A 27,949-nucleotide genomic window follows, 5' to 3' on the forward strand; every position below is an offset into this window, starting at 1 on the left:
CTTGCTAAGAGCAAACTTGAAGGTATGGATAAGGCCCTGAGTCATCTTCCTGAGCTGAATGATAGTTAAGCTGAATGTACGTATAAAATATGATTTTCTAACCACTTGCTCGCCAACAAGGAAAACTTTTAAGTAGAGCAGAACCTGAATAGACAAGACATTTCTTTCTTTTGGTAGAAAATGATTTACCATCACTGTGTAGTTAATTGTAGACTAGGTAATTTTAACTTTGTGATTTATTGCCGGAGACATTTTCTTCTGTACTGTAAAGTGTGTGTCAAAAAAAAAAAATAGCGATTTTGGAGGATTAGGGGACTTTGATAAATTGCCTGCAATTCTGGCAGTATGAACTGCATATTAATTTCTCTCTTTCAAGAACATTTTTATTTATTAATTCCTTACAAAAACTCCCTAAACTTTGGAACAGCTCTCAATTGCCTGTATTCTTTTTTTTCTTATTATGGTACTCTTCTAGAGATTTGGCTTGCATCTGTGAATAAGCCAGGACATCTTCAGAAATTGTCTGATTAAAAACACCACCAATGGAGTTTCATTAAATTTGTATTGCTCTGACTAGTGAAACATACACATCTATGTTGCTGAGGATATTTTACTGCAGTTCAAGTTGTAATAATAGCTCTGTTTAAGATCCGTCAGTCACTTGAATCTTCTCTAAGGCTTTGTATGTTAGAAGTTAATTTGCTTTCTTACAAGGCCACATTCTATCTTGTAACTAAACAACTGAATTTTATGTCTTAGCGTAGATGGTTTATTACTTTCTGGTTTTTCTTTAGTAAGAATCCTATAAAAACACTAGTATTTTTCTCTGAGTTTAAAATTCAATACATGCCTACTGATATGGTTAGGCTTTGTATCCCCACCTGAATCTCGTCTTGAATTGTAATCCCCATAGCCCCCATAATCCCCACAGGTCAAGGGAGAGACCAGGTGGAGGTAATTGAATCATGGGGGCAGTTTCCCCTGTGCTGTTCTTGTGATAGTGAGTTCTCACGAGATTTGATGGTTTTATAAGGGATTCTTTCCCCTTTGCTCGGCACTTCTTCATGCTGCCTTGCGAAGAAGCTGGCTTGCTTCCTCTTTGTCTTCCGCCATGATTGTAGATTTCCTGAGGCCTCCCAAGCTGTGCTGAACTGTGAGCCAATTAAACTTCTTTCCTTTATAAATTACCCAGTCTTGGGCAGTTCTTTATAGCAGTATGAAAATAGAAAAATACACCTACTATGTAAAACTTAAAATACAAAAAAACAAAACATTATCTCACTAACATAGGAGCTAATATTTTGGTGTACTTTGTTTAGTATTTTATATTAAAAATATGTACATATATATTTATATATAATTAAGAACATGTATGTACAATCGTGCATACATCATGTACATACATCTACTTAAGAAAATAGCTATGTAATATACCATTACTCAACTAGATTATAATTTTTTCTCCATTTCTTTATTGTAATTTATCATTTTCTACTTTTTTGTTTTCTCATTTTTATTGCATAATATTTAATTATGCAAAAAATACATTAAATACATTGAAAATATATAGTGTAGCTATAAGAATAAAGAACGATGGTAAAACAAATGCTAATACCCACTACCTGACTTAAAGAATATGATATTATTTTTTTCCAATTGAAATTCCCTCAACTACTCAGAATTACTGCTATCCCTCTTATCCTTTCATTAATTTTCTTCTAGTTTTCTCACATGTGAATCTATTTCTAAATACATTTCTTTATTTTGCAAGTTTTTGGACTTCATATAAATGTAACCATATTGTATATATTCTTCTTCAGCTTCTTAGTTTTTCACTAAACAATATGTTTTGCTGATACTTACATTCATATGTACAGTAATAGTTGATTTATTTTAATGGCTATATATTATTCCATTGTTAGAATACACCAGGATTTATTTTTACTTATTTTTTTTGCTGGAAAATTGGGTGTCTTTTTTATTTTTTGATATAACAAACAATGTTGTAATCATTTTGTATTTACTTCCTAGTCCACTCCTGTAAGTTTCTCTTGAGTACATACTAGCAATGAATATGCTGAGTCACTGCATATACATACTCACAACTTTATTCTATAATGTAATATTCTATAAAGTAGCTGTATCAGTTTATACTTTAACCAGTAATGGACAAGATTTTCTGTTACTTCCCATCTTTGTTAATTATTACTTTTAGACTCTAACTTTTATCAGGCTCATGGATGTAAAAAGCATCTCAGGGTGGTTTTAATTTGCATTTATCTGCTCATCTATGAAGATGAGCTTCTTTTCATATAATTATGAGTCATTATTTTTGTTTTGCCTTCTTTTGTTTATGCATTTTGCTTGTTCTATGTCTTATTTTTCCTGTTGATTTTTGGGAGTTCATATATATTCTAAATGTATATTTATTCACTTATATATATGTTGTAAATATTACAGTTTATGATTTGTCACCTTATGATATCTTCCAAATAGAGAAGCTTTATATTTTGATGTAGTCATATGTTCATTTTTCCTCCTTAATGTTTGTTTTTCTTGGTTCTATGACCTACCAAAAGTAACAAAAATTCTCATTTATTTTTAATCTAAATGTTTTAAGTATTTTCCTGGAATTCACCTTGAATTGATTTCTATTGGAGATAGGTATCCAATCTAATTTGCCTCATATGGATAACCACTTGTTCTATTACTGCTGTAACAAATTTCTACAAACTAAGTGACCTAAAATAACACAAACTTGTCATCTTACAGTGTACACAAGTCAGAAATCAGGCATGAATTTTAGTGAACTAAAATCAAGTTGTCGACAGGCATGTTTCTTTATGGTGGCTAGGGTAGAATCCATATCCTGGCCTTTTCTATCTTCTAGAGAACATCAGCATTCCTTTTCTCATTGCCTCTCCTCTCTCTTTTTAAAGCTGGCAATGTCACATTTCTCTGACCATTCTTTCATTGTCACATCTCTCTCTGGACTCAGCTAAGAAAGGTTCTCCATTTTTAAGAACTCATGTGATTAGACTGGGCCCATCTGGGTAACCCAGGAAGATCTCTCCATCTCGGTTTGCATCCTTAATCACATCTGATAAGCCTTTATTGCATTCAGTGTAACATATTCACAGGTTCCAGGGTTAGGCATGGGCATCTTTGAGGGCCATTATTCTCCCTACCACATTATTTGCCTAGCATCTTTCATTACATTGTCCATCTATTTACTTACTGATTTCTAATGACATCCAAATCAGTTACAACATTTTATGTAAGCATTGTTTTTATTTTTATGTTATTCCACTAGTCCATTTTTCTACTCATGAATTATGGTACATGAGTTTATTTTTGCAACTTTAAGCTCAATAACATGTTTTAAGATTTCCTCAACTTTCTTTTTGCGCTTCTTCAGAAGTTGACTCTTTTGGCCCTTTGGTCTTCTATACACATTTTAGAAATGCTTTGTTGAGGACTAAGAGGAATGCTAAGATTTTGATAGGAATTTCAATGAATTTTGAGTATATTGGCATGCTACAATGGTTAGTGCTTTATACATGAAAATAATATATCCCTTCCTCTTTTCCTAGTATCATGAGATGTTTGTTAGGCAGACATGAATATTGAGTTGTATCAAATGTGGTTTTCTGCATTATTGTGGTGGTGATGTGATTTAGCTCCTTTAATTAGTTAATGTAATGAATTACATTTGTAGATTGCTCTAACTATTGAAACAAGCTTGAATTTCTGGAATAAGCCCAATGTGATATTTATTCAACAAATATTCATTGAGTATACCTAGTATGTAACATGCTTTAAGAATACACCAGTGAACCAAACAGAAATATCTGACATTACAGAACTTAACATTCCAGTATTTGGAGACAGATGATAAAAAAGTGAACATGTATATTTACAGTTTGTCAAGGAATGATAAATGAAGACTCTTAAAGTAGATGGGGAATTGGGAGTGAAGTCTGTAATTTAAATAGGGTGGGCAGGAAAGCTTCACAGAGAATGGGACATTTAAGAATAGACTTGAAGGACAGGCAAGAGCAATCTCTATGTTTATATGGGAGAAAAGGTTCCAGGCAGATGCAGTAACAATGGCAAATATCCTGAAGTAGGATCATGCTGGAGTTTTTGTGGAGCAGCAAGGAGGCTAGTGTGACTGCCACAGAATCACCCAAGGGAAGATGAGAAGATCAGACCAGACCAGCACTTGGGCATCTAATGGGAAAAGTTTCTCAAGCCATCATAAAAATTTCACTTTTACTATAAATACTACGAGAAACCATGGGATGTTTTACAGTAAGAAAGGTGGCATAATATGTTACATGTTTTAAACAAACTCTATAGCTTCTGAGTTGAAATAGATTGTAGGGGCTCATGGCAGAAGCAGAGGGAACATTTAGGAGACTACTGTAAAGAATATCATGAAAAGAACAAACAACGCTATGTAACATGCTTAAATGGACTGAAGAAGATGTATAAAATCAAAATGATGTTACCTTCACACCTTGAATCAGTACGATAAACCCCCCTCCCCAATCACAAAAGAAAAACTAAACACAAAAACCAGGCTTTGGTTGCTCAGACAATTTTACAGGTGAGTTCTAGCAAACATGCAAAGAACGTTTAATTGCACTGTTACAGAAATTCTTCTGGAGACAAGAAAATAAGACACATCACCCAACCAATTTCATAATAACAATGTCAATGTATAATAACAGAAAAAGTGGATCTCCAAAGAAATAAATTTATTTGGAAATAAACAAGGATTATAATCTGAGATATTTGTGCTATGATCAATCATAGGTGCATCCCAAGAGGTTGAGGTAAGGAAAATATGTAAAGACAAAAAGAAGTCCATGCAAGCTGTTTTGAAACAAACATCATTGGTCACAGGGTCTGATGCAGGAGCTGGTGTTAACTTACTGGCAGAAACAGCCATTGCTAGGCAAGTGTTCTTGTGAGGGTGGCTTATCTGAAATGCTGCAGTCTTGAGGAATTTTTTATGATAGGTCCTATTATAAAACACCTACAGGATGAGCTGGACAAACAGAGTGTGCTGGGTGGGCAGAAATTTCTTGTGAGTTTATAGAAAGTCCTTGTGATAGTGCTTATCGTGGACAGACACACAAGATCCCCTTTTTCATGACCCGGCTCCACTTTGCTTTGGGTCTGATGTAAGTGACTTTGCCTTGTCATTGGCAACTTTCACTGTAGTATAATCTGCACATCAAAGTTACCTAACAATAGTACAAAGAAAGAAAATTAAAGGTATATCTCTTTCAAAAATATAAACCCCAAAATTGTTAGGAAATTGTAGTGAGTATAAAAGATAATTCATTATAATAAACATCTCAAGCTTCACAGAATTCTGACCTTTGCTACACTCTCATCCACAATCTTTTCTCCTAGTAAATGGCAGCTCCTTCTGTTAAGTTGCTGAGGCTTCTTATTGCTTTTTTCTTCAAATAACAGTCAGAACTGAACAACTGTAATCATCCTAGTCCATACAATTGTTATATTTTCATTTAAAGAAGATCAATGTGTGATTCTTTTTTTATATATTTCTGGACAATTCTTTATATTTTAATAGTAGTCAGAATTTGATCAGGAAAACAGAAGACATCCTATGTATTATAATGATAAAAGTTTAATATTAATTAGGGCCTTATGCTATTATTGGAAGAGCTTGGTGAATAGATATTAGAAAAGCAGCTAGACAAAATCAGAAGAGGTCTGTTTTATATCAGAGATCTTAGCCTGACAGTCTAGAGTGTGGGCACAGAACCCAAGCTTATAGGAATTTCTGAAAGGTCTGTAAATCTTATCCAGATGGACAGTGGGAGCTCATAAAGGATTCTGCAAGCCATCACATCTGTCAAACCTGCTATGTCTAATCCTTAAGCCTGCTTTATTTGAAGACCTCCTCTTCACTCCTCATTTCCAGCTCTCATGAGTTTCTTTCATAGGCAAACCCAGACCTGGAACAATGTGCCTGAAGACTTCGGGTGACACAGTACCCAGACTTAAATAGGAGGGGAGCCATGGTGGAAGTGGCCATCCAGCACAATTTTCTTGGTCTTTACTCATAGTTTTGATTCCTTAAAAAAATTAACCACATTAAAATATGTGTTTCATAATCTACATCTAATAATACAAATATTTAAAGTCTTTTCAAGTTTGAATACGCTACCCATGTTGCTGCTACCCCCATTTTGTGTGTGTGATTTTTGTGTGTGTGTTAGAAGCTCATGACCTTTGAAACCTGCTCTTATGAGCTTGCTTTGATGATTTATTTGTCCAGAGAGGATTTTTTTTCCTACCTAGCATTTTGGACTGCTATCAACCTGAGACCACTTTGAATTAAATTCTCAGCTTGCAAATTTGGAAGCCACACAGATTGTGTGAGTTCAGGCTGAAACCTGTTTGAGGCTGGATTCTGGCTATAAACTCCACAGGGAACATTTTCTCTCTCCACTCAGAGCTGAGACCATAGGGAAATTTATTTGCTAGCTCTCTTTGAAGGTTTATTTTATTTATTTTTTAAATTTCTAGTACACGTGCTCACTGAAGGTGTAATACTTATGTGAGAATCTCAAAATCAGTTGTGTTCTTTGTATGACCCTGGTTTTGTTTCCTCCTGCTCTCTTACTTTCAGTGTGTCTCAGTATGTCTGCTCAATATGTCATCTTAAATTTCAACTGAGGGTGGATCTTCTTCCCAGCTCACTCACATGGTTCTTAGCTAGATTCAGTTTCTCTCCATTTGTAGGACTGAGGACCTCAGTTCTTCACTTAGGGTTGGCTACAGGTAATCATCAATTTCTTGTAACAGGACTTACACTGGGCCACTGACAGCATGCCAGTTGGCTTCATTCAAATGAGAGGGCAAGAGAAAGAGAGAGAGGGAGAGGGCACAAGAAGAAATTCACAGTATCTTATAATCTAATCTCAGAAGTGGCATCTCATTTCTTTTGTTCTATTCTATTCAATAGAAACAAGTACCTGGGACCAGCTTACACTATAGGAAAGAGATTATATAAGGGTATAAATACCAAGAGGTAGAGATCATCAAGAGCCATTCTGGTAGCAGCCACAATATCTTATCCAGAATATTTCTTATTCAGGCCTTCAAATGTGCTGTCTTTTCTGGTCTAATGGAAATGAACCTTCCTTCCATACAATTTCTTCTCCTAAATTGTACTCTGGCTCTCTTATCATATACAAATGTCTATGTTAGGTATTTGTGTCTGTCTTGATTCTTGGTAGGCTTTTAAACTCTGTGAATGTTGGACTGTGATGTAGACATCATTTCACCGCACACTCTGTAACCACCAAACCTTAGCAGCTTATTCAGTAAGCACATACTTGGCTCTTAATGAGTATTGCTTAAATTGATGAATTGAATTAGTATTTTACCTTCTCTGTTGCTTAGCTAAGCAGAAGAATTTGTCATTTTTTTAATTTAGTGACTGGTTCTATTAAAAGTTACCTTTGTCTATATCATTTTGTTATACTAAAGCACAAATGTATAAGGTCAAAAAACATTCTCAAGATTTTGTTTAAACCACAGCCCTCAGTTGTGTATATTTATCTCTTGTTTTCATATGCAAGATTTCTCCTGAAATGGGCAACAATTACAAGAGTTTTTTTCCTCTTCTGAACTAAGAAAATAAATATTTAATTCACAAGTTTAGAAAAGTGAACCTGAAAAATCACAGGGCTAGGTGGGTTATGAGGCCCACTGGTACATGATAGTGTTGAATGTGGATTAGAATGAACTCCGTGGATTAGAATCTCAGACCATAGGCAAACATTTACTTGTTTTAGAATAAGCACATTTGAGTCTGCAATAAGTATTACTATTTTTAAGTTGAAAATGTAATTGGTTTCTAATAATAACCATATTGGCTAGCATTATTTCAATCGTGTTTAATGTTTTCCAATGTCATTTCATGTCAGATATCTCTCTTGATTCTTAGTAACAATTTGGACAAGACAGCAAATGCTATTGTCCAAGTTTTCTAAAGAAGAATCTGAAGTGAAATGACATCAAGAGACCTATCAAGACCTGTATCCAGGAAAAGGTAAATCTGAGCTGAAATTGTAGCCCTTGTAAATTACCTACGTGACATACCAGATAGTGTTCATGATCCATTCAGTACTCTGTTCTAAAAATGAGACAATATCCATTTATTCACTTGTTCATTTATTTAGTGCTTGTTCAGCCCTTACTGCATATTCCAGGCACTATTCTGACTGTGGCAGGAGTGAACAAACAGGCATGGTTCTTACTTGCATGTAATTACAGTCTTATAGTGAAAACAAGTGTTAAACAACAAAATCTCCCAATTATTTTAAAATTATAAACTTGATTCAATACTATGTGGCCATATAATTGTTCCTAATTTGGTTGGAGAAGGGAGGCAGTTAGGGAAGCCTTCCCTGAGTTAGTGCCATTTAACCTGAATTATGATAGACGATAAGTAATTTGTCAGGGGAAAAATACTCCAGGAATAAAGAACAGGTACAAAGGTCAGGTTCTGGGAAGAGCTTGTCTTGGTCCAGGAGCTAAAAAATGTTAGAGTGGCTGGATCTGGGAAAGAGACAAAGAGTTATTAAATGAGGCAGCAGGCTTCAGCAGGTGCCACATTGCTCAGGGCCTTGTAGGCCATGCTAAGGATTTGGGATGTTAATGTCAGTACAAACAATTGAGTCGTAAGCAGAAAGTAAAAGCATGATTCCATCAAATGTTATTCTCTAAACAGTAATTTTATAAATACAGGTTAAATGTGTGTGGTCCCAGCTACTCAGGAGGTCCCAGCTACTCAGTATTCCTTTTCAACAAATATTAGGTGCCTACTATTAGCCAGGTACAGCCCTTAGCTACTTTGAATGAAGCATATATTACAAACTGGCAGAATTTCTTAAACAAAGAATCTAAAGTTGTTTATACACCATAATCTCGGTATTTTATAAATTTCTTGAAATTATTTTTATGTACACTGCTTTGCAGAATTTTAACTGGCTTTGAAATAAACAATGACAATAGTCCTCCATGTTACTAGTTTCAAATTTTCCCAATACCTACTAAGACATTACTTAATCCACAGATTTACTGTCAATAGTTTGTATCAAATTGTGATAACATATTTGAAGTTAATATTTCAAATTAAAGCAAAATCACAAATTTATACTTTATATTATGAATGAGATTCACAAAAGGAGCATGATAATATATTCTGTTGTCATCACATACAAAATAATAACATATAGAGTATGAATCAATAATTTTTCAAATACAAAGCTATTACAATTAGGAATACAAAGAAATCATAATTAGGAATACTTCTACAATATTAACACACAATAGTGGTAACACTTGCAAAATGATGGTGGTGGTTTTTTTTTTTTTTTTTTCCCCGACAGAGTCTTGCTCTTGTTGCCCAGGCTGGAGTGCAATGGCGTGATTTTGGCTCACTGTAAACTCCACCTCCTGGGTTCAAGCGATTCTCCTGCCTCAGCCTCCCTAGTAGCTGGTATTACAGGTGCCTGCCACCACACCCAGCTAATTTTTGTATTTTTAGTAGAGATGGGGGTTTCACCATGTTGGCCAGCCTGGTCCCGAACTCCTGACCTTAGGTGATCCACCAGCATCGGCCTCCCAAAGTGCTGGGATTACAGGTGTGAGCCACTGCGTCCAGCCAGTGGTGGGTCTCATATCTCAATGTGGACTTTTACTAACTCCCGATGCCTCATTTTCCTCATCAGTTGAAAGGAATGAATGAAAGATTTGTGTTTTTCATATTACCAGGTAGATGATAAGAAGATTTTAATTTTCTTTTTTTTTTAACTTTTATTTTAAGTTTAGGGGCATTTGTTACATAGGTAGACTGGTGTCACAGGGGTTTATTGTACAGATTATTTCATCATCCAGGTATTAAACCTAGTACCCAATAGTTATCTTTTCTGCTTCTCTTCCTTTTCTCACCCTCCACCCTCAAGTAGACCCCAGTGTCTGTTTTATTCTTTGTGTTCATTAGTTCTCATCATTTAGCTCCCACTTATAACTGAGAGTATGCTGTATTTGGTTTTCTGTTCCTGCATTAGTTTGCTAAGGATAATAGAAGGTCCATCCACATTCCAGCAAAAGACATGATATCATTTTTTAATGGCGGCATAGTATTCCATGGTGTATATGTACAGCCTGCATATAAACTGTGGGCTAAAGACCTTCACCAGAGCAGTCTGACAGAACCTCTCTGAAAGACTTCTCCTAGGCTGTAATCCTCAGTCTCTTGTTCTCAGACCCCTAAATAAATCTAACTTTAATTTCTTAAAAGCTTAATTTTTTTCTTTAGTTGACACCAAAAATCTCCCCAGCCAGATCCACAAACTTTTTCGGTATTTTTCCTATTTTTTATATCATTCCAGGCAAGCGTTTTCTAACTCTCCCATCAGAATATGACTTTGGTGCCTTTTCCTCAGCCTCCACTGATGATTTTTTCTCATTATCCTTAAAGCCCTTTCCAGTAGACTTCTTAAGCTCTTTCAAGTTTTCAGTCTCCTTAAGGACCATTCAGTGTTTACTGTCAGTTCCCAGAATGCTTTTACAGGTTTTGCTATCATTTTCCTTGAAGTCTGTTCACTTTTCACTAACAGTCTTTGTGAAATCCTTCTGGCTTCTATCCATTGTCTGATTCCAAAGCCAATGCCACATAGTTTAAGTTTATATTATATTAGAGTGACATCTTATTCCACGTACCACAAACCACCTCAAAACTTAGCAGCTTAAAACAACAAACTTAAAAAAAATTGTGGACTTGTATTAGTGCAAGCAGGGCTTAGCTACATGATTCTGCTCCGTGTGGTATTAACTGTAGCCATCTGTGGTATTCAGCTGGCAGCTGGGTAGTCTGGAGAGTTGAAGGTGGCTTCAGTGATGTGCCTGTTTTATTAGTGGATTGGATGAAATGTTGTGGTAAGGTGGGCCTCTCTTGCTCTCCGTGTAGTTTGAGAGCCTGTCTACATGATCTATTCAGCAGCAATATGGTTTGGCTGTGTCCCCACCCAAATCTCATCTTGAATTGTAGCTCCCATAATTTCCGTGTCTTGTGGGAGGGATCCAACGGGAGATAACTGAATCACAGGAGTATTTCCCCCACACTGTTCTCGTGGTCTTGAATAAGTCTCACAAGAGCTGATGATTTTATAAGGGGGTTCCCCTTTCACTCAGCTCTCATTCTGTCTTGTCTGCCATCATGTAGAGATGTGCCTTTTGCCTTCCACCATGATTGTGAGGCCTCCCCATCCACCTGGAAATGTGAGTCCATTAAGTGTCTTTTTCTTTATAAATCACTCAGTCTCAGGTATGTCTTTATCAGCAGCATGAAAACAGACTAATACAGTACATTGGTACTGGTAGAGTGGGGTGCTGTTGTAAAGATAACCCAAAAATGTGGAAGCGACTTTGGAACTGGGTAACAGGCAGGGGTTGAAACAGTTTGGAGGGCTCAGAAAACGACAGGAAAATGTGGGAAAGTTTGGAACTTCCTAGAGACTTGTTGAATGGCTTTGACTAAAATGTCAAATAATGATATAGACAATGAAATCCAGGCTGAGATGGTCTCAGATGGAGATGAGGAACTCACTGGGAACTGCAGTAAAGGTGTCTCTTGCTATCGAGAGAGACTGGCAGCATTTTGTCCCTGCCCTAGAGATTTGTGGAACTTTGAACTTGAGGGAGATGAGTTAGGGTATCTGGCAGAAGAAATTTCTAAGCAGCAAAGCATTCAAGAGTGACTTGGGTGTGTTAAAAGCACTCAGTTTTAACAGGAAAACAGAGCATAAACGTTCAGAAAATTTGTAGCATGACACTGTGATAGAAAAGAAAAATCCATTTTCTGAGGAGAAATTCAAGCTGGCTGCAGAAATTTGCATAAGTAACAAGGAGCCAAATGTTAATCGCTAAGTCTTCAGGCCATGTCAGAGATCTTTGTGGCAGCCCCTTCCATCACACACCCAGAGGCCTAGGAGGAAAAAATGGTTTCATAGGCTGGGCCCAGGGCCCCTCTGCTGTTTGCCTGTGTACAGCCTAGGGACTTGGTGCTCTGTGTCCCAGCTGCTCCAGCCACAGCTAAAAGGGGTCAAGGCACAGCTCAGGCCATGGCTTCAGAGGGTGCAAGCCTCAAGCTTTGGCAGCTTCCATGTGGTGTTGAGCCTGTGGATTCACGGAAGTCCAGAATCGAGGTATGGGAACCTCCACCTAGATTTCAGAGAATGTATGGAAATGCCTGGATCTCCAGACAGAAGTTTGCTGCAGGGGTGGTCTTCATGGAGAACCTCTGCTAAGGCAGTGGGGAATGGAAATGTGGGGTTGAAGCCCCCAACACAGAGTCCCCACTAGGGTACTGCCTAGTGGAGCTATGAGAAGAGGGCTGCTGTCCTCCAGACCCCGGAATGGTAGATCCACCGACAGCTTGCACTGTGTGCCTGGAAAAGCTGCATACAATGCCAGCCTGTGAAAGCAACCGGGAGGAAGGCTCTCCCCTGCAAAACCACAGGGGTGGAGCTGCCTGAGACCATGGGAACCCACCACTTGCATGAGTATGACCTGGATGTGAGACATAGAGTCAAAGGAGATCATTTTGGAGCTTTAAGATTTGACTGTCCCACTGGATTTCGGACTTGCTTGGAGCTTTTAGTCCCTTTGTTTTGGGTAAATTTTACCATTTGGAACGGCTGCATTTACCCAATGCCTGTACTCCTATCTTATCTAGAAAATAACTAAATTGCTTTTGATTTTACAGGTTTATATGTGGAAGAGACTTGCCCTGTCTCAGGTGAGACTTTGGACTGCCAACTTTTGAGTTAATGCTGAAGTGAGTTAAGACTTTTGGGGACTATTGGGAAGGCATGATTGGTTTTGAAATGTGAGGACATGAGATTTGGGAGGTGCCAGAGGCAGAATGAGGTGGTTTGGCTGTGTCCTTTCCCAAATCTCATCTTGAATTGTAGCTCCCATAATTCCCATGTGTTGTGGAGGGACCTGGTGAGAGATAATTGAATGATGGGGTGGCTCCCCCATACTGTTCTTATGGTCGTGAATAAGTCTCATGAGAGCTGATGACTTTACAAGGGGCTTCCCCTTTCACTCAGCTCTCATTGTCTCTTGTCTGCTCCCATGTAATGCATACTTTTCACCTTCTGCCATGATTGTGAGGCCTCCCCATCCACATGGAACTGTGATTCCATGAAACTCTTTTTATTCATAAATTACCCGGTCTTGGATATGTCTTTATCAGCAGCATGAAAATGGACTAATGCAAGCAGAATAAGCAGAATTCTTCGATACTGACTCAGCACCCCACACACGTTGGTTCCAAGATGTAGAAATGGAAGCTTCAAGGCTTTTAACATCTGGACATCAAAACTGGAAGTTTTACTTTCACTGTATTTTATTGGTCAAAGCAGTCAAAGAGCCCACCCAGGTTCAAGGAGAAAGAATATGTCCCCACGTTTTCAACAGGATGGTGCCACAAAATTTCTAGTCATCTTAATTCACCACAGATAGAAATATGAAGAGCTCATTTGTTATGTTATTTGTGAATGCAGACTAAAGGTATTTGTTGGTTTATATAGTAGTGGGAAAATGAGAACTTTTAAAATATTCAACTTTTAGCCCTTGACATGCAAAATGAGTTCATTACATGGTAAGGATGAGGGAGAAAGAAAAGATCTGAAAAAGTAGAAGAGTGATGGATTCAGAAAGCATAGGATGATTGTCAGTGTGATTGTTTTATCTAGCCACATATAGCTGTGTGGTATCAAGATGTAGAAGGCAGAGAGTAGGATTTATCAGGATTGTTGTTTGGAAGAGTGAGTACAATCATTACGAGGGAGCAAGGTATTGATCATGGAATATAAAGTGGGAAAAGAGGTAAGGTAAGAAGGATATCAGTAAAGTGAATGACAGCATAAATATGGTAGAACCATTGGATTGGTGGCTCTGGAGGAATTGAATAATTATTAGACTTGAAGCATTAGATGGTGCACTAGTGAGGGCATCTCCAACTAAGTCTACCATCAAGTCATGGTGATTTATTATCTCAAATATATGACAAATTTATCTACTTATTTCCAAAACTCCCATATCTAGTTTAAGTAATCAAATTTCTTGCCTTGGCAAGCATGTTGCTTTGTAATTGACTCACCTGTATCCAATTTGAATTCCTTAAAATCCATTCTATACATTGTAACCATAGTGATATTTGCAAATGTGAAATCTGGTCAAATCATTCTTCTGCTTAGTAGTCTTGGATTTCTCATTCTCTTAGGAAGCATCTTCCACTACTTATTTCAGCATTATCTGCACAATGCTTCCCCTCACTTCCTCACAATGTGGTTTCAGGCACAACTCCCAAGGCCCCACTCTGGCCTCGCGGAGCAGATTGTTCCCCCTGCAGGAAAACCTTTGTTCTCCACTCAGTTAACTGCTGTTTACCCTTTAGATCTCAGCTCCAGTGTTGCTTTCTTAGGGGAAACTTCTCTGACTCACATCAAATCCCTCTCTTATAGTAATTTTCATTGTATTTCAGAGTAATTTTTATGGTTGCAATTTTACATTTGTGTGATTGTTTGATTAATCTCTGTCTCCTCCACGAAAACTCCAAGATGCAGGAACTATATCTTACTGGCATTCAGCACAATACCTGGCACATAGGTGTTCAAAAAATACTAATAGGGTAAATAAATGAATTAATTTTATGCTTTTATTTTAATATTTTCATGGTATTAATATTTCTCTCTATGTGATATTTTGTATGTACCTATTTTCTTTTAATTTGAAGATTTATAGTTTAGTTATGTGCTGTATAAATTATATTTAGTTCTTTAATTTTTGTGTTATTTCCAAGGGCGCTCTCCATTGACTCTTTTAATATAGTTCCACTTTACCCCTTAAACCCACTTTCCTCTCCCACCTTCGTCATCCAACTTTATTTGATTTTGTTATTTTTAATTTTTCTAAGAATGACCTTTATCTTTTAAAATAATATTTAATCACCCATAACATAATTTGTTGATTCTCTCCCACTGTGAAAGTTGAATGGACCAGAATATATTTCTACTATCTTTCTCTTCTTATTTTTGTTATGAATATAATTAGTCCTTATACAGTTATGGTTTGTAACATTTACATTCTGTTCTTTAACCGCAAACCCCAGAACATTTTGATATTAGGCTTCAGAATGCTCACTTGTATCATGTTATCTCTATTCATTTTTAGTGGATAGTTTTCTTTTTTAAGTTTTTCTGATAGAGATGGGGTCTTGCTATGTTGCCCAGGCTGGTCTTATCTTGAACTCCTGGGCTCAAGTGATTCTCCTGCCTTGGCCTTTCAAAGTGTTGGGACTGTAGGTGTTAGCCCCTGCGCCTGGCCTCTAATAGTTGTCTTCATTAAAGCCTCATGGGGACTCTATTTTTTTTTTTTTTTTTTGTGGGTTGTTTATTTTGTGTTTGTGAAGTCCGGTAAATTCAGTTGCATCTGCCTTGATGTGGTCATACTATAACATATTTTTTCTGGATAAAGATAAGCCCTTTAACCATTAGATTCAATGTTTTCTTCATTTCAGAAAAGTTTTCTTTTATCTTTGAATTTTTTAACCAGATATTGTGAGCTCTTTCACACTAATTTCTCATTTGTTGGACCTGACTTTAATGTTACATTTCACCTTCTTGTGTTTTCTATTTTGTTTTGCTCAGGATATATTTAAGCCTGTCATTTATATTCTTATCTGTGTTTTTAGCAGCATTATTCTCTCCACTTCCCACTTTTTTTCCTGCTTTTATTGATCTTCATTTCTTTCATGGTTGTCTTTACTCATTACATCCTGAATTTTGCCAGATTATTTTTTATCACTTTATTTTGTATTTATTTTCAATTATGTCTTCTAAATATCATTTCAGAGAGAAAACATTTTAGAGAAGGCATATTTTTAAAAAACATAGAAAATTTGATCCTATTTTTTACTGCTTCATGGTATAATTTGTATGTTCTGTACCTTATGTAATTTTCCCTTTTTCTTCTAGTATTTTTATAAAGGTCATCATGTTTTATTTTTGTAATACAATTATTATAAATAATTATATAATATTATTAGTCTTTGAATATTCTAGATACTTGTGTAAGGATATTGTGGAGGAGGAGCTGGGGGTAGTAAGTATGATGGAAGGCAGACGAGTTTGGAATCTTGTCTCCAAAACACTCTCATCTGTTAGAATGACTCCTAGGCTATAGGATTGACTATGGCTTAGAGTGGATTCATAGTTGTTAATTTCATCATGTGACTTGTGACTTATCCTTTTCTTTTCATAATAGAATGAAAATTGCCATCTGTCTGGCTTCTTCCCCATCTTTTTGCCTTCTTTCATTACACCACACACGTGTCCTAATTATTCCAAAGGTGATACATTTGCATGTTTCCCTTTAAACTCCTTTCCCTCTGTCACTCTGTGGAGGGTTCACATGCTGCAATATTTCTGTTCCAAGTAAAGATCACAGGTTTTGATCCTCAGTCCTCAGTATACACACCTCTTTTAGGGATTTCTGGGCTTCTTGACTAGCTCAAGCTCTTCAGAGGCATGCACTTTATCTTGGTGTTCAGTCTTGACTGGTTTAAACTTTTGATGTCCAGAAGGTTTTCTTCATGTGTTGTTGTGTGGAATTGTAAATATTTTCTAGCTTTTGTAAGGTTGTGGCTCATATTTATATTTCTCCTGGTTTGAAAGAAGAGAGAGAAAGAAGTATGTCAAATTGAGACTCTTAGATTGGAAATCTGAATTTATTTACACGATTGAGATTGATCTAGAGTTTTATTTTTTCTGCTGTAACTGAAATTTGGATTCAAGATTATATGTGTTTTGTGAATATGTTTGGTAACATTGTGACTTTTCTATAATTTAGGGAAGTTTGATGTAGGAGGAAGAGAAAAAATTTTTGAGAGAATCCTAAATTCATATATGGCTTAACCTTTTAATATCTATGTAATTTTAGATAATAAATAATTTGTTTGAGATTATGTGGCTCTAACAACACCTGCTTCACAGTGTAATTATGAGGATTTCATAGAATTTGTATAGTGAGCATTAGTTTTGATGTTACTTTAAACCTCTTTGCCTTATACATTCTGTTTTTTCCATGGAATATTATATGATTTCATGTCCACATATTAATCTCATACTTTCAATTACATTTTATGTTTAAATTGAATATTATGGTAATCGTTATGTAAATGATTAAAAATTTAAAGGGACAACATTTAATGTTGCTCTGGAATTCACCTTTAGTCATAAAATAAAGATGTAAAGTATCATCTGTAGACAATGGCAAAAGGCCTTTTTTGTCATAAGAAAATCAAATATGCTTTATTTCACCCAATTAACAGTTTCTGGGCTTGGCTATCCCGGGAAAACCAAAATGACCATAGGCGGTAATTCCCCAGGCCGTGTGATCTCAGTCTGGCATTCTCAGATCTCCAAGGCATCACTTTGGCCACTACCCTCTGGGGCTGTGATTAGCAGCTCTCTTCCTGTTTTATGCAGCTCTGTGTGTATGTCTGCAGTGATGCCGTACTGGATCTGGTTCATCTTGTGAGAACTATACCTATCTGAATTTTTGATGATGCTCTTTTCTTAGTTCCCTTGGCAAAACAGGTAGGTGAGGGATAGAAATAAAATCTATACTTAGTAAATCGGTGAGCCAAGGTCTGTGACTGGCAATGAGTGAATTACATTCTCCTCAGTTGGGTGCAATGTCTGCCTTCTGTGTGGCCATTTGCTGTTGCCACTAGAGAAGGAGGATGCAGCAGGGATCAGGCACCGTGGAGAAAAGTCGCCGTGTGTAGGCAGCTAAGAATGTAGGAAAATGAACATCTCGGCTCCCAAAGGACGAGAATAAAGCTGTAGAAGAATGTCAGGGAGGAATCTGAGTTGATCGTATGACTATTCATCCTTCTTCCCACATTTTCCCGACTGTTTAGCCCTACTTTTCTTCGCGTTGGGTCTCATTTTCCTTCCTGTGTGGCCTGTGCCTTATGGTCAGCGCGGACGTCCATCAGTCTATCAAATGCCTAGAAACCTTTCGCCCTTTGTCACCTTCTGTGTCACCCAGCATTCCCCTTCTCAGCCCTTTTCATTCTCATGGTGGAATCCTTTTGGTTTGATTTCAAGGGTCCAGCACTGTTGATGTCACAACAGAGTGGCATGGAAAGTTTCTGAAAATTTTGTCATCTAACCTCTCGTGGGGACTTTTAATTAATTCAGCTTTTGACAACTCCATCACATTCATTATATTATCCATTCATTCATTCATTAATACATTTGACATTTATAATGTGTGCCAACAATGTGCCAGGTCAAAACTGCCCACTTACAATGTAGAACATTTCTGTAAATTTTATTTCAATTTTCTTGTATTTCTTCTCCTTTATTCTACCATCCCACTTGATCTTCTGCCACAGAAGTTCTCTTCTCTCTCTCTTTGTTCTCTCTTCTCCTCCTTTATTCTTGATACCTGCTTCTGTGTTGTCTCCTCTAGGCCAGCACTTGTCCTCCTACCTCTGTGATGTTCTGTCTAGTTTATTGATTCCTTTTCCTACTTTACATAATCAATGTGGATAGTTTCTATAGTTGGGTCTTGGCTTTTTAATCTTTTTTTCCTGTGTATTATTTCCTTCAGGGACCTTATGCACTCTTACACATCCGTCTATTATTTTTATATGGATTACTATACAATTACATGTTGAATTTGTACTTTTCCCCCATATATCCTGTCATATGTTTTCACCTGAGCATCTCAATATCTAATACTCTTATTTGCTTAAAATACACGTGATTATTTTCTCCACCCTGACATATTTTATGTTCAACTTTCTAATTTCTAAAAATGGACCTACCATTGTCCTATTTATTCTTGCTTAAATCTTGATATTTTCTTTGAGTTCATGCTCCTTCGTATTCACTCCAGCTGTGATAAGTCACCAATCCTTTGGGTTTTTACTTACCAGTATATCTATTTCTGTTTCTATAGCCTTAAAGCTGGAACTGTGTAGTCCCAGTTCCTCTGTGTAGCCCCCCAAGTCTGCTCTATTTCAATCTTCTCTTAAGGGAACTCCTTCCCTCCGTTTTTCTTTTCCTCCATTTGATACATCGCACTTATAGATGGGGCATCTTCCCTAATTACTGGCTTCATCCTCAATTCCCGGGACCCATACCTTCACTGGCTCCCTAAATTTATTTAATAATTCTCATATACCTTTGAGAAGTTTCTAATGATAGGCAACAAATGAATATTGACTACCTTTCTTATTTTCCTTTCTTCACCAAAATGATTTTTAGGATGTAGACAATCTGTATGCTTCAACATACACCAAACTTACCATTTTTGAAATATTTTGCAATCTACTTGAAAAGACTTCTTTAGACCCTATATTCATGTATTGTAATATTTATCCTCTTTTATGGCTATACTCAAATGCCACATCACTATAGTGCCTTCCCTCATCACTGTAGCTATCTCTTTTCACTCTACTTATATTGTAGAGGATTTGTTACACTTCTTAAACTGCTGATCTCAAGCGATTTGCTTGCTTTGACCTCCCAAAGTGCTGGGCTGACAGGCGTGAGCCACTGCACATGGCCTGATTTGTTCCACTTCTACTATATGCATCACACATGCCTGATGCATATTTTAATGCACGTTGGATAAGGATCGGCTTTGTACGACTTCAGTCTTTCTTGATGTGTGACACCCACTTCTATTTTGGCTCCACTTTAACAAAATGAATAAGTGAGAAGGTAATACTGGAAACAGAACATAACTGTGACTAGGAATTTGGTCTTGACTCGCCATTTAATTTTCTGATGTGCATGACTGTTTTCTTCACATGTGAAATTTAACATGAGGTTGAAACTGGAGAATTTTATATTTTTCATGAAAAAGGCAATTTGGGAGAAAAGTCCATTTTCCTGAGGATAACGTATTGTATGGTTTGACTGCTTTGCCTTGGCTGGTCAACACATTTGTACACCTGGATAGGCACAGTTTTCAGAAATCCTTTCAAGCATCTACCAATTCTCCTGTCTACAAGTTTACCTTCCTCCCATTTCTCATTCCTAATGACAAGGGAAATATCCAGTGTTATCTGAAGTGGTCATAAAAGACATTTTTTTTTCTTTTTATGTGAGGAATTGAAACTTATGGCTTTAGATTATGGGGCTTACCATCAAGGAAAGGGCGTAGCGTGGTCAGAGGACAAAACTTCTTCCTGCATTTCTCAGGAAGTCTTTGATTAGTGTGTCCACCTAGGAGCAATTTTTTTTTGGGGGGGGTGCTGGGAAATATACTTAAGTGATTAAATCCAAGTGTAGACATGAGAGGTTTACCTAAAGCCAGGTCTAATTACCATACCTGAGAATCAGGGAGTATTTAAAATTTGAGAAATAATTTTCTATACTTGAAAGTCACTTATGTAGGTAGGCCTCAGATTATAATAAATAACGTTTATTGTGCTATACTATGTGGTAGGTATGAGGTTAAGTATTTTTACCTATATTATATCACTTATTTCTTACAAATGGAGCAAGGGAGCAAGCAAGCAAGGGAGGTATTATTATCCCTATTTTATGTATTTATGTATTTATTTTTGATTTCTATTCTTTTGGTTTTTTTGTTGTTTTTTATTGATGTATCATAGTTGTACATGTTTTGGGGTACATGTGATATTTTTGATACATGTATACAATGTGTAATGATCAAATCAGAGTAATTTGGATATTCATCACCTCGAATATTTATCTTTTCTTTGTGTTGGGAACATTATAATTTTTCTCTGCTAGCTATTTTAGAATATATAATAAATTATTGTTCCCTATGATTTCTCCATTGTACAATTGAATACTAAAATTTATTATGTCTATCTACATATCCCCAGTTCAATAACTATAATTTCTCTGCTGTGCAATCAAATACTAGAACTTCTTCCTTCGAACGCTATATCCCTAATTCAATAACAAGTAAACTGAAGCTCAGCATGGTCTAGGAACTTTGTTACGTTAACACAGCAAGTGAGTGTTGCAGCCTGGATCCAAAAATCAGGCCTGGTAGACCTCAAAGTCCAGATTATTGACCTTTCTACCATAATGTATGGAGGTAAGTTTGTGAATTTATTCAAAAATCAGGCCTGGTCAACCTCAAAGTCCAAATTATTAACCTTTCTACCATAATGTATGGAGCTAAGTTTGTGAATTTTCATAGTTTTAGGATTTGAAGATAAAAGAGGTGAAAATTTGGAAATGGTTTCTGGACTTTGAATTTTGGCAAACAGCTATGTGATAAGTCCACCCTGCAGACCCACAACTTTTGGAAATAACTCTACTGTGACCTTCAGTAGCAGAAGCTGCTCCTGGGGTGGTAGAACACAAGGAAAACACACACTAGTAAAAATTTCATGTGCCTTCTTTGTTCTGTACATGTGTTTCTCTTGATTAGTATATGGTAGTATCCTCAAATCATAGTAACAAGTATACTTTTTCCAGTGAATTGCATGTGTATATTATTGTATAGTATAAAAGGCAATATTTCCATTTATTATCATCTGTGCTTTTCAAAGAAACTCTGTGAGTCCAAAAGGGCGATAATAGAAGCAACTGCCCTTTCTCTCCCCCGTTAAATGCAACCCAATGTCAAAGTCCGTAGCATCCCCAAATGAGTGTGTTAAAGGTGAGAAATTCCCAGAGTCAAACTCAGTAGCATCCTTGAATGAGTGTATTAAAGGTGATAAATTTATTTTATTTATGTTCTTTTTAACCTGTGTTCTCAGAAACAGAGACTACTGTATTTCATCCTACCTTAGTCTTGCTTAGCAGTTTCTCTTCTCCTTTGAGGCTCTTTTATTTTTAAATCATTGTTCATATCTTCTAATTTCCCCTTTCTCCCATTCTTTCCATATTTTTAATCTTTTTTTAACTTTATCTCTGTTCTGCTTTTTCTGTATTTCAAATTGATCCATAGACTTTAGAAAAATGAGTTGAATGCTGGCTGTAGGCTGTCTTATCCCCAGCAAGAAACATGTTGTAAAGTCTTAGTACCTTCCCACTGGAAGATCATTAGTCATGGCTACTATGTTTTTAAATGAGAATTGTTTTAATTATGCATTTTAAAATTATTGGAAAACATGAGGGAGAGGAATGAACCATAAGTAATAAAGATTATTGACTTGAAGTTAAGACCTTACTATGATCTGGGATTATTAGTCTTACTTGTCAATCAAGAACTATCCACTTTCTATTTGTTTGTGGGTATCTAATATGGTTATATACACAGAAGTAATGATAATTGATATGAAAAGGTCTCCTCCTGTTATATCAATTTAGGTATTTTTCACACATTGTGTACCTCATTCTTCTCCTATTCAATTTTCACTAATTCCTAAAGGGTCAGGTCAATGTCCTTGGCATAACCTCCTCCACCTGTTCTTAATGGCAATTGTATCTTCTGCCCTCCAATATCTATAACACTTTTTTCTTTAAAACTCTTTGAATGTTTATCTTAATACTCATTTGATATATATTGTATACCACATATGATTGTTTGTTATATGTACAATACATGTTTTTTCAACTTTTTTTGGTTCTTTCCATTTACAGGAATTAGAGAAAGAACTAATCAGTGTGAAGGAGAATTGTCAGTAAAATTACAAGAAAAGATTGAGATCATAATTGACCTTTGAGGATAATAAAATTTAAAGACCAAAAGGATGGACTTCACAGAAACATGACCTTAGGTTGTTTTTGCAGTTGTAGTAACTGGTTATATGACCAACAAAATATGAAGAATGGGTAAACAAATTCTGATAGTAATGATCAGTCACTTTGCAAATATAAAGTTACTATTTACTACTGTATTGTACAGGTTCAATAATCTTTGTGTACACATTTTATGTATTTATTGTCAGGCTGCTATATAATTCAGTATTTATAATAGATACTATGTATAGCAATCTATGGTTAGTTTTGGTCTTAACCAGGAAAAATCACTCTTTTGAGTTTTGCTGTTTTTACCAGATTATTTTTACTGGATGATTGCTCATATTATTTGATTATTATTGCAATTTGTCTTTCTGGAATAGGAAGCAAGAGGCCTGAATTCTGGTTCCTATTCTATCAATTGTGTGAATTCTGGAAACTCAGTTTACTTTTCTGGGCCTCATGGTTTTCATCTGAATGATGACCAACTTGGATAAAATGGTCTTTATATAATTCCATAGGCATTTCCCTTCCCAAGGGCTTGAGTCTTTTTCAACAATTATAGAGTTTTCCGGTCCCTCTTCCCAGTGCCTCAGCACCTTGCTATTCATGTTCATCTGATCAGTTGTTTGCATGCTGACTTACATTACCCTGATGGGCAGTACCTGTGGCTGTTTCTGCTCCCTCACCCAGTCCATAGGCTTCTGGTTGTAAAAAGTGTGCATCTTGAGACTGTGGACAGTTAGCTCCAGAGGTGACAGTATAATCACTTCACGTAGAAGAGGATAGAGAGAGACTCATGCCAGTGGTGGTGAGCAAGTATTAGAGATATGATGTGTGCCTCTGTGAGTTTTGGGGTCTAAGATAAATTATGGCACTAGGAAGATGGTCCTTTGTGTCAGAAGAACTGGAGTTGTTGGTGCAAAAAAGTATGATGTCAGCATAGCAGTTTTATTTGTACCTCAGCAACTTCTAAAATAATCTCTATTAAGTGTTTTCAGGAACTACTTTCTACTATAGGAAAATGATTGAGGTGAGTATCCATCTGGACACAGAGAAATATAACACTGTTTTCTGCTCACCCTCCACTTCACATATAAATACAATATGTGTTAAAGGACTAAATTTCTAGTGTCACAGTTTGTACTTTATAGTTTGAAGTCAATAAGAAAGCTCATATACCTTCCTAAAAGTCACTTGTTAATGTTTGATATTAATCTAATTTTATCATAAATTAAAAGTATAAAACTACAAATTTCTTAAAGATAAAATATCCGAATGGATTCAGTCAAATTAAGCATGATAATATCAAATATCAGAATAGGTTACCATGCAGGAGGTACTGAGTACTTAAAAGGGTGGGGAATGCAATGAACATAAAAGCTGGTACCAAGGGGAGGAGGAGACAGTGATGAATTAAAACATTATCTTAACTAATCCAAGTGCTGGTCTTCAATACTTTCATGTGTATAGACAAAGAGAAACTGCAGAGATTTCTCACAACCTCTGTGTCCATTTTATGCATGTATCTTAGCAGAAACACTGGTGAAATCCCTCCAAAACATATTTATTAGGCATGGAAAAAGCCTTACATGACAGGTGGCATAGGCTCCTTATGAAATCATTGCAGGATGGGAAGCCATTTAGGGCTTCATAATTGTGAAAGATTGTATAGAAACTGAGGCACTTAAATAGCAGTAAGCATGAGAAAATGTGGTAGATAATGGTGGTGATTCTATTTCTTGTGAAAGTCCACTTACTCTAGTCTGCTACAGTTGTGGGCTTTCCGATTTCACATACCCCAGTCTCTATATTCTCTCAATCCACAGCCTACCTCAACTAAGTCCGTCCCAGGCACCTCTTACTGCAGTGATAATCCATCTGTTAATCATGTTTTCCTCTTATGTCTACTTTCTGTCAGAGAATTGTGGGTGCAAACTGGGAAGGGAAGGAAATTATAAGAATATGTATAAGTACAAATGGAATATGTTGGAAATGAGGAATAGTTAATATCACAGGTCATTTAAACACCTGATGAATTTCATGGATAGTCAGGAATCTTGTTCTTACCTAATCTGTTAATTTTAGATCAGACATTACACTGAAAGTATTGATGATGGGTTTAAATCAGGTTGCAGCTCACATGTTGTGATAATATTATGTTGATTTTTTGTTTTTAATATGTGAGGAACAGAATAACTGTATACTATTTATTCATAGTGACATTGCAATATTGATTTTAGTACATATTATTATCTTCATAATCACAATTTCCTCCCCATTTTCTTAGTTCTCATAATTTTAGCCACAGCCCAGTTGGCTGGACCAATGGATGGAGAGAATCACTCAGTGGTATCTGAGTTTTTGTTTCTGGGACTCACTCATTCATGGGAGATCCAGCTCCTCCTCCTAGTGTTTTCCTCTGTGCTCTATGTGGCAAGCATTACTGGAAACATCCTCATTGTGTTTTCTGTGACCACTGACCCTCACTTACACTCCCCCATGTACTTTCTACTGGCCAGTCTCTCCTTCATTGACTTAGGAGCCTGCTCTGTCACTTCTCCCAAGATGATTTATGACCTGTTCAGAAAGCGCAAAGTCATCTCCTTTGGAGGCTGCATCGCTCAAATCTTCTTCATCCACGTCGTTGGTGGTGTGGAGATGGTGCTGCTCATAGCCATGGCCTTTGACAGATATGTGGCCCTATGTAAGCCCCTCCACTATCTGACCATTATGAGCCCAAGAATGTGCCTTTCATTTCTGGCTGTTGCCTGGACCCTTGGTGTCAGTCACTCCCTGTTCCAACTGGCATTTCTTGTTAATTTAGCCTTCTGTGGCCCTAATGTGTTGGACAGCTTCTACTGTGACCTTCCTCGGCTTCTCAGACTAGCCTGTACCGACACCTACAGATTGCAGTTCATGGTCACTGTTAACAGTGGGTTTATCTGTGTGGGTACTTTCTTCATACTTCTAATCTCCTACGTCTTCATCCTGTTTACTGTTTGGAAACATTCCTCAGGTGGTTCATCCAAGGCCCTTTCCACTCTTTCAGCTCACAGCACAGTGGTCCTTTTGTTCTTTGGTCCACCCATGTTTGTGTATACACGGCCACACCCTAATTCACAGATGGACAAGTTTCTGGCTATTTTTGATGCAGTTCTCACTCCTTTTCTGAATCCAGTTGTCTATACATTCAGGAATAAGGAGATGAAGGCAGCAATAAAGAGAGTATGCAAACAGCTAGTGATTTACAAGAGGATCTCATAAATGATATAATAAGCCCTTCTCATTAAACATGATATGGCTTTATGTTTCTTTCTTTGATATTTTAGATTCAGGAACTATGAGACATTATGTATTGATTTGAATGTTATTAGACCTGTAACATAATTCTTATCTGATGAATATATGATGAATATATTCCTTGTTCAAAATGAGTCATAAATTCAACACATCTCTACATCTATATTATGCCCATTTAATTTCTTTCAGCAATGTTTTGTAGTTTTTGGTGAACAGGTACTTTATGCATATGTACTTTATATTTATCTCTAAGTTTTATATTTCTGATGCCCTTTTAAGTGACATTTTTATTTCAATTTACAATTGTTTATTCTTAGCTTATGGGCACATAATAGATCTTTGTTTGACATTATATCCTGTAAACTTGCAAAACTTATAAGTTCCATCAGTTTTTTATAGGTTATGTAGGATTTTCTTTATAGATGATTATGTTGTCAGTGAATAAAGACATTTGCTTTTAAAATTCTAGTATGAATTCACTATATTCATTTTGTTGAATGCTGAGTAGAATTAGTTAGAGTAGACATCTTTGACTTGTTCCTGTTATGAAATATATTAAATATTTCATCATTAAGTATAATGTTAGCTATAATTTTTTTCATAGGTACTCTTTAACAGGCTGAGAAAGTTTTCTGTATTCACAGTTTGCTGAAAATTTCTTTTATCTTTAGTCAGGAATGGATCTTGGATTTTGTAAAGCTTTTTCGTTTCAGAATCAGGGTAATGCTGGCCCTTTAGAATGAGTTGGGAAGCATCTGCTCTTCTTAAATTTTCTGCCATAATTTTGTAGAATTCATATAATTTTTTTCTTTAAAAAGGGAAGTACTTAAGTATTTTTTCCCATAAGTTACCCATAAGTAAATCTAAAGGAAAGTGGGAAACTTTGATACGCATTGGTTGCCCCCTGGTGGAGATTTCTGGGTTCTTGATTATTTTAACACTGGAGATAGAATCTGGTGGAATGACGTCAATGCTACCGTGATTAAGAGGTGTGTAGGAAATGCTTCATGTAAAAGAGAAAATAGTCTTTATGAGAATCTGCCTGGTGGAAAGGAGTTGGTGCAACAATAACAATATAAATTAGTGAAAAATTTTAAATTGACAAATAATAATTGTATCTATTTATGGGGTACAATGTAATGTTTTGATACATGTTTAAATTGTGGAAAGATTAGGTCTATCTTATTGACATACATATCTTTTTTGTGGTGAAAACATTTAAAATCTACTCTGTTAGTCATTTTGAAACATACAATACCTTGTTATTTATTACAGTCACCATTCTGTGCAATAGTTCACTGAAACTTTGTCTAACTGAAACTTTGAACCCTTTTATCAACATCTACCTTTTCCATGTCTACCCCCAACTACTAGCCTCTGATAATCACCATTCCATTCTCTACTTCTATGAATTCAACTTTTTTAGATTCCACATATCAGTGAGATCATGTGATATTTGTCTTTTCGTGCCTGGCTTATTTCACTTAGCGTGATATCTTCTGGGTTAATTCATGTTGTCACATATATCAGGTTTTCCTTCCTATTAAGGCTGAGTAGTATTCCATTGTATATATACACTACATTTTCTTCATCCATTTGTCAGTTGATAGACACCTGTGTTGATTTCATATTTGGGTATTGTGAATAATGCTGCAATGAACATGAGCCTGGAGATATCTCTTCAGCATATTGACTTAAATTCCTTTGGATATATACAAGGAAGTGGGATTGCTGGATCATATAGTAATTCTAGTTTTAGTTTTTTGAGTAACTTTTATCTATTTTTCATAATAGTATTAATTTACATTTCCACCAACAGTGTACGAGGG

At 36.3% G+C, this 27,949-nt stretch overlaps 1 protein-coding gene across 2 annotated transcripts; it reads left to right on the forward strand.

Annotated features, from left to right (window-relative positions):
- On the forward strand, positions 1 to 27,889 carry OR4F3 (olfactory receptor family 4 subfamily F member 3). 2 transcript variants are annotated; one of them, NM_001005224.2, is made up of 2 exons: positions 1 to 76; positions 21,005 to 27,889. In NM_001005224.2, the coding sequence occupies exon 2, from the start codon at positions 25,146 to 25,148 to the stop codon at positions 26,082 to 26,084; it is 939 nt and encodes a 312-aa protein (NP_001005224.1). In that variant the 5' UTR covers positions 1 to 76; positions 21,005 to 25,145; the 3' UTR covers positions 26,085 to 27,889. The 2 variants fall into 2 exon arrangements, with proteins under 2 accessions (NP_001005224.1, NP_001395315.1); NM_001408386.1 differs by lacking the exon at positions 1 to 76 and having other exon boundaries at positions 25,127 to 26,121.
- Positions 27,890 to 27,949: the final 60 nt, after the last annotated feature.

Source organism: Homo sapiens, chromosome 5 (genome assembly GCF_000001405.40).
Source record: "Homo sapiens chromosome 5, GRCh38.p14 Primary Assembly".
Lineage (NCBI taxonomy): Eukaryota > Metazoa > Chordata > Mammalia > Primates > Hominidae > Homo > Homo sapiens.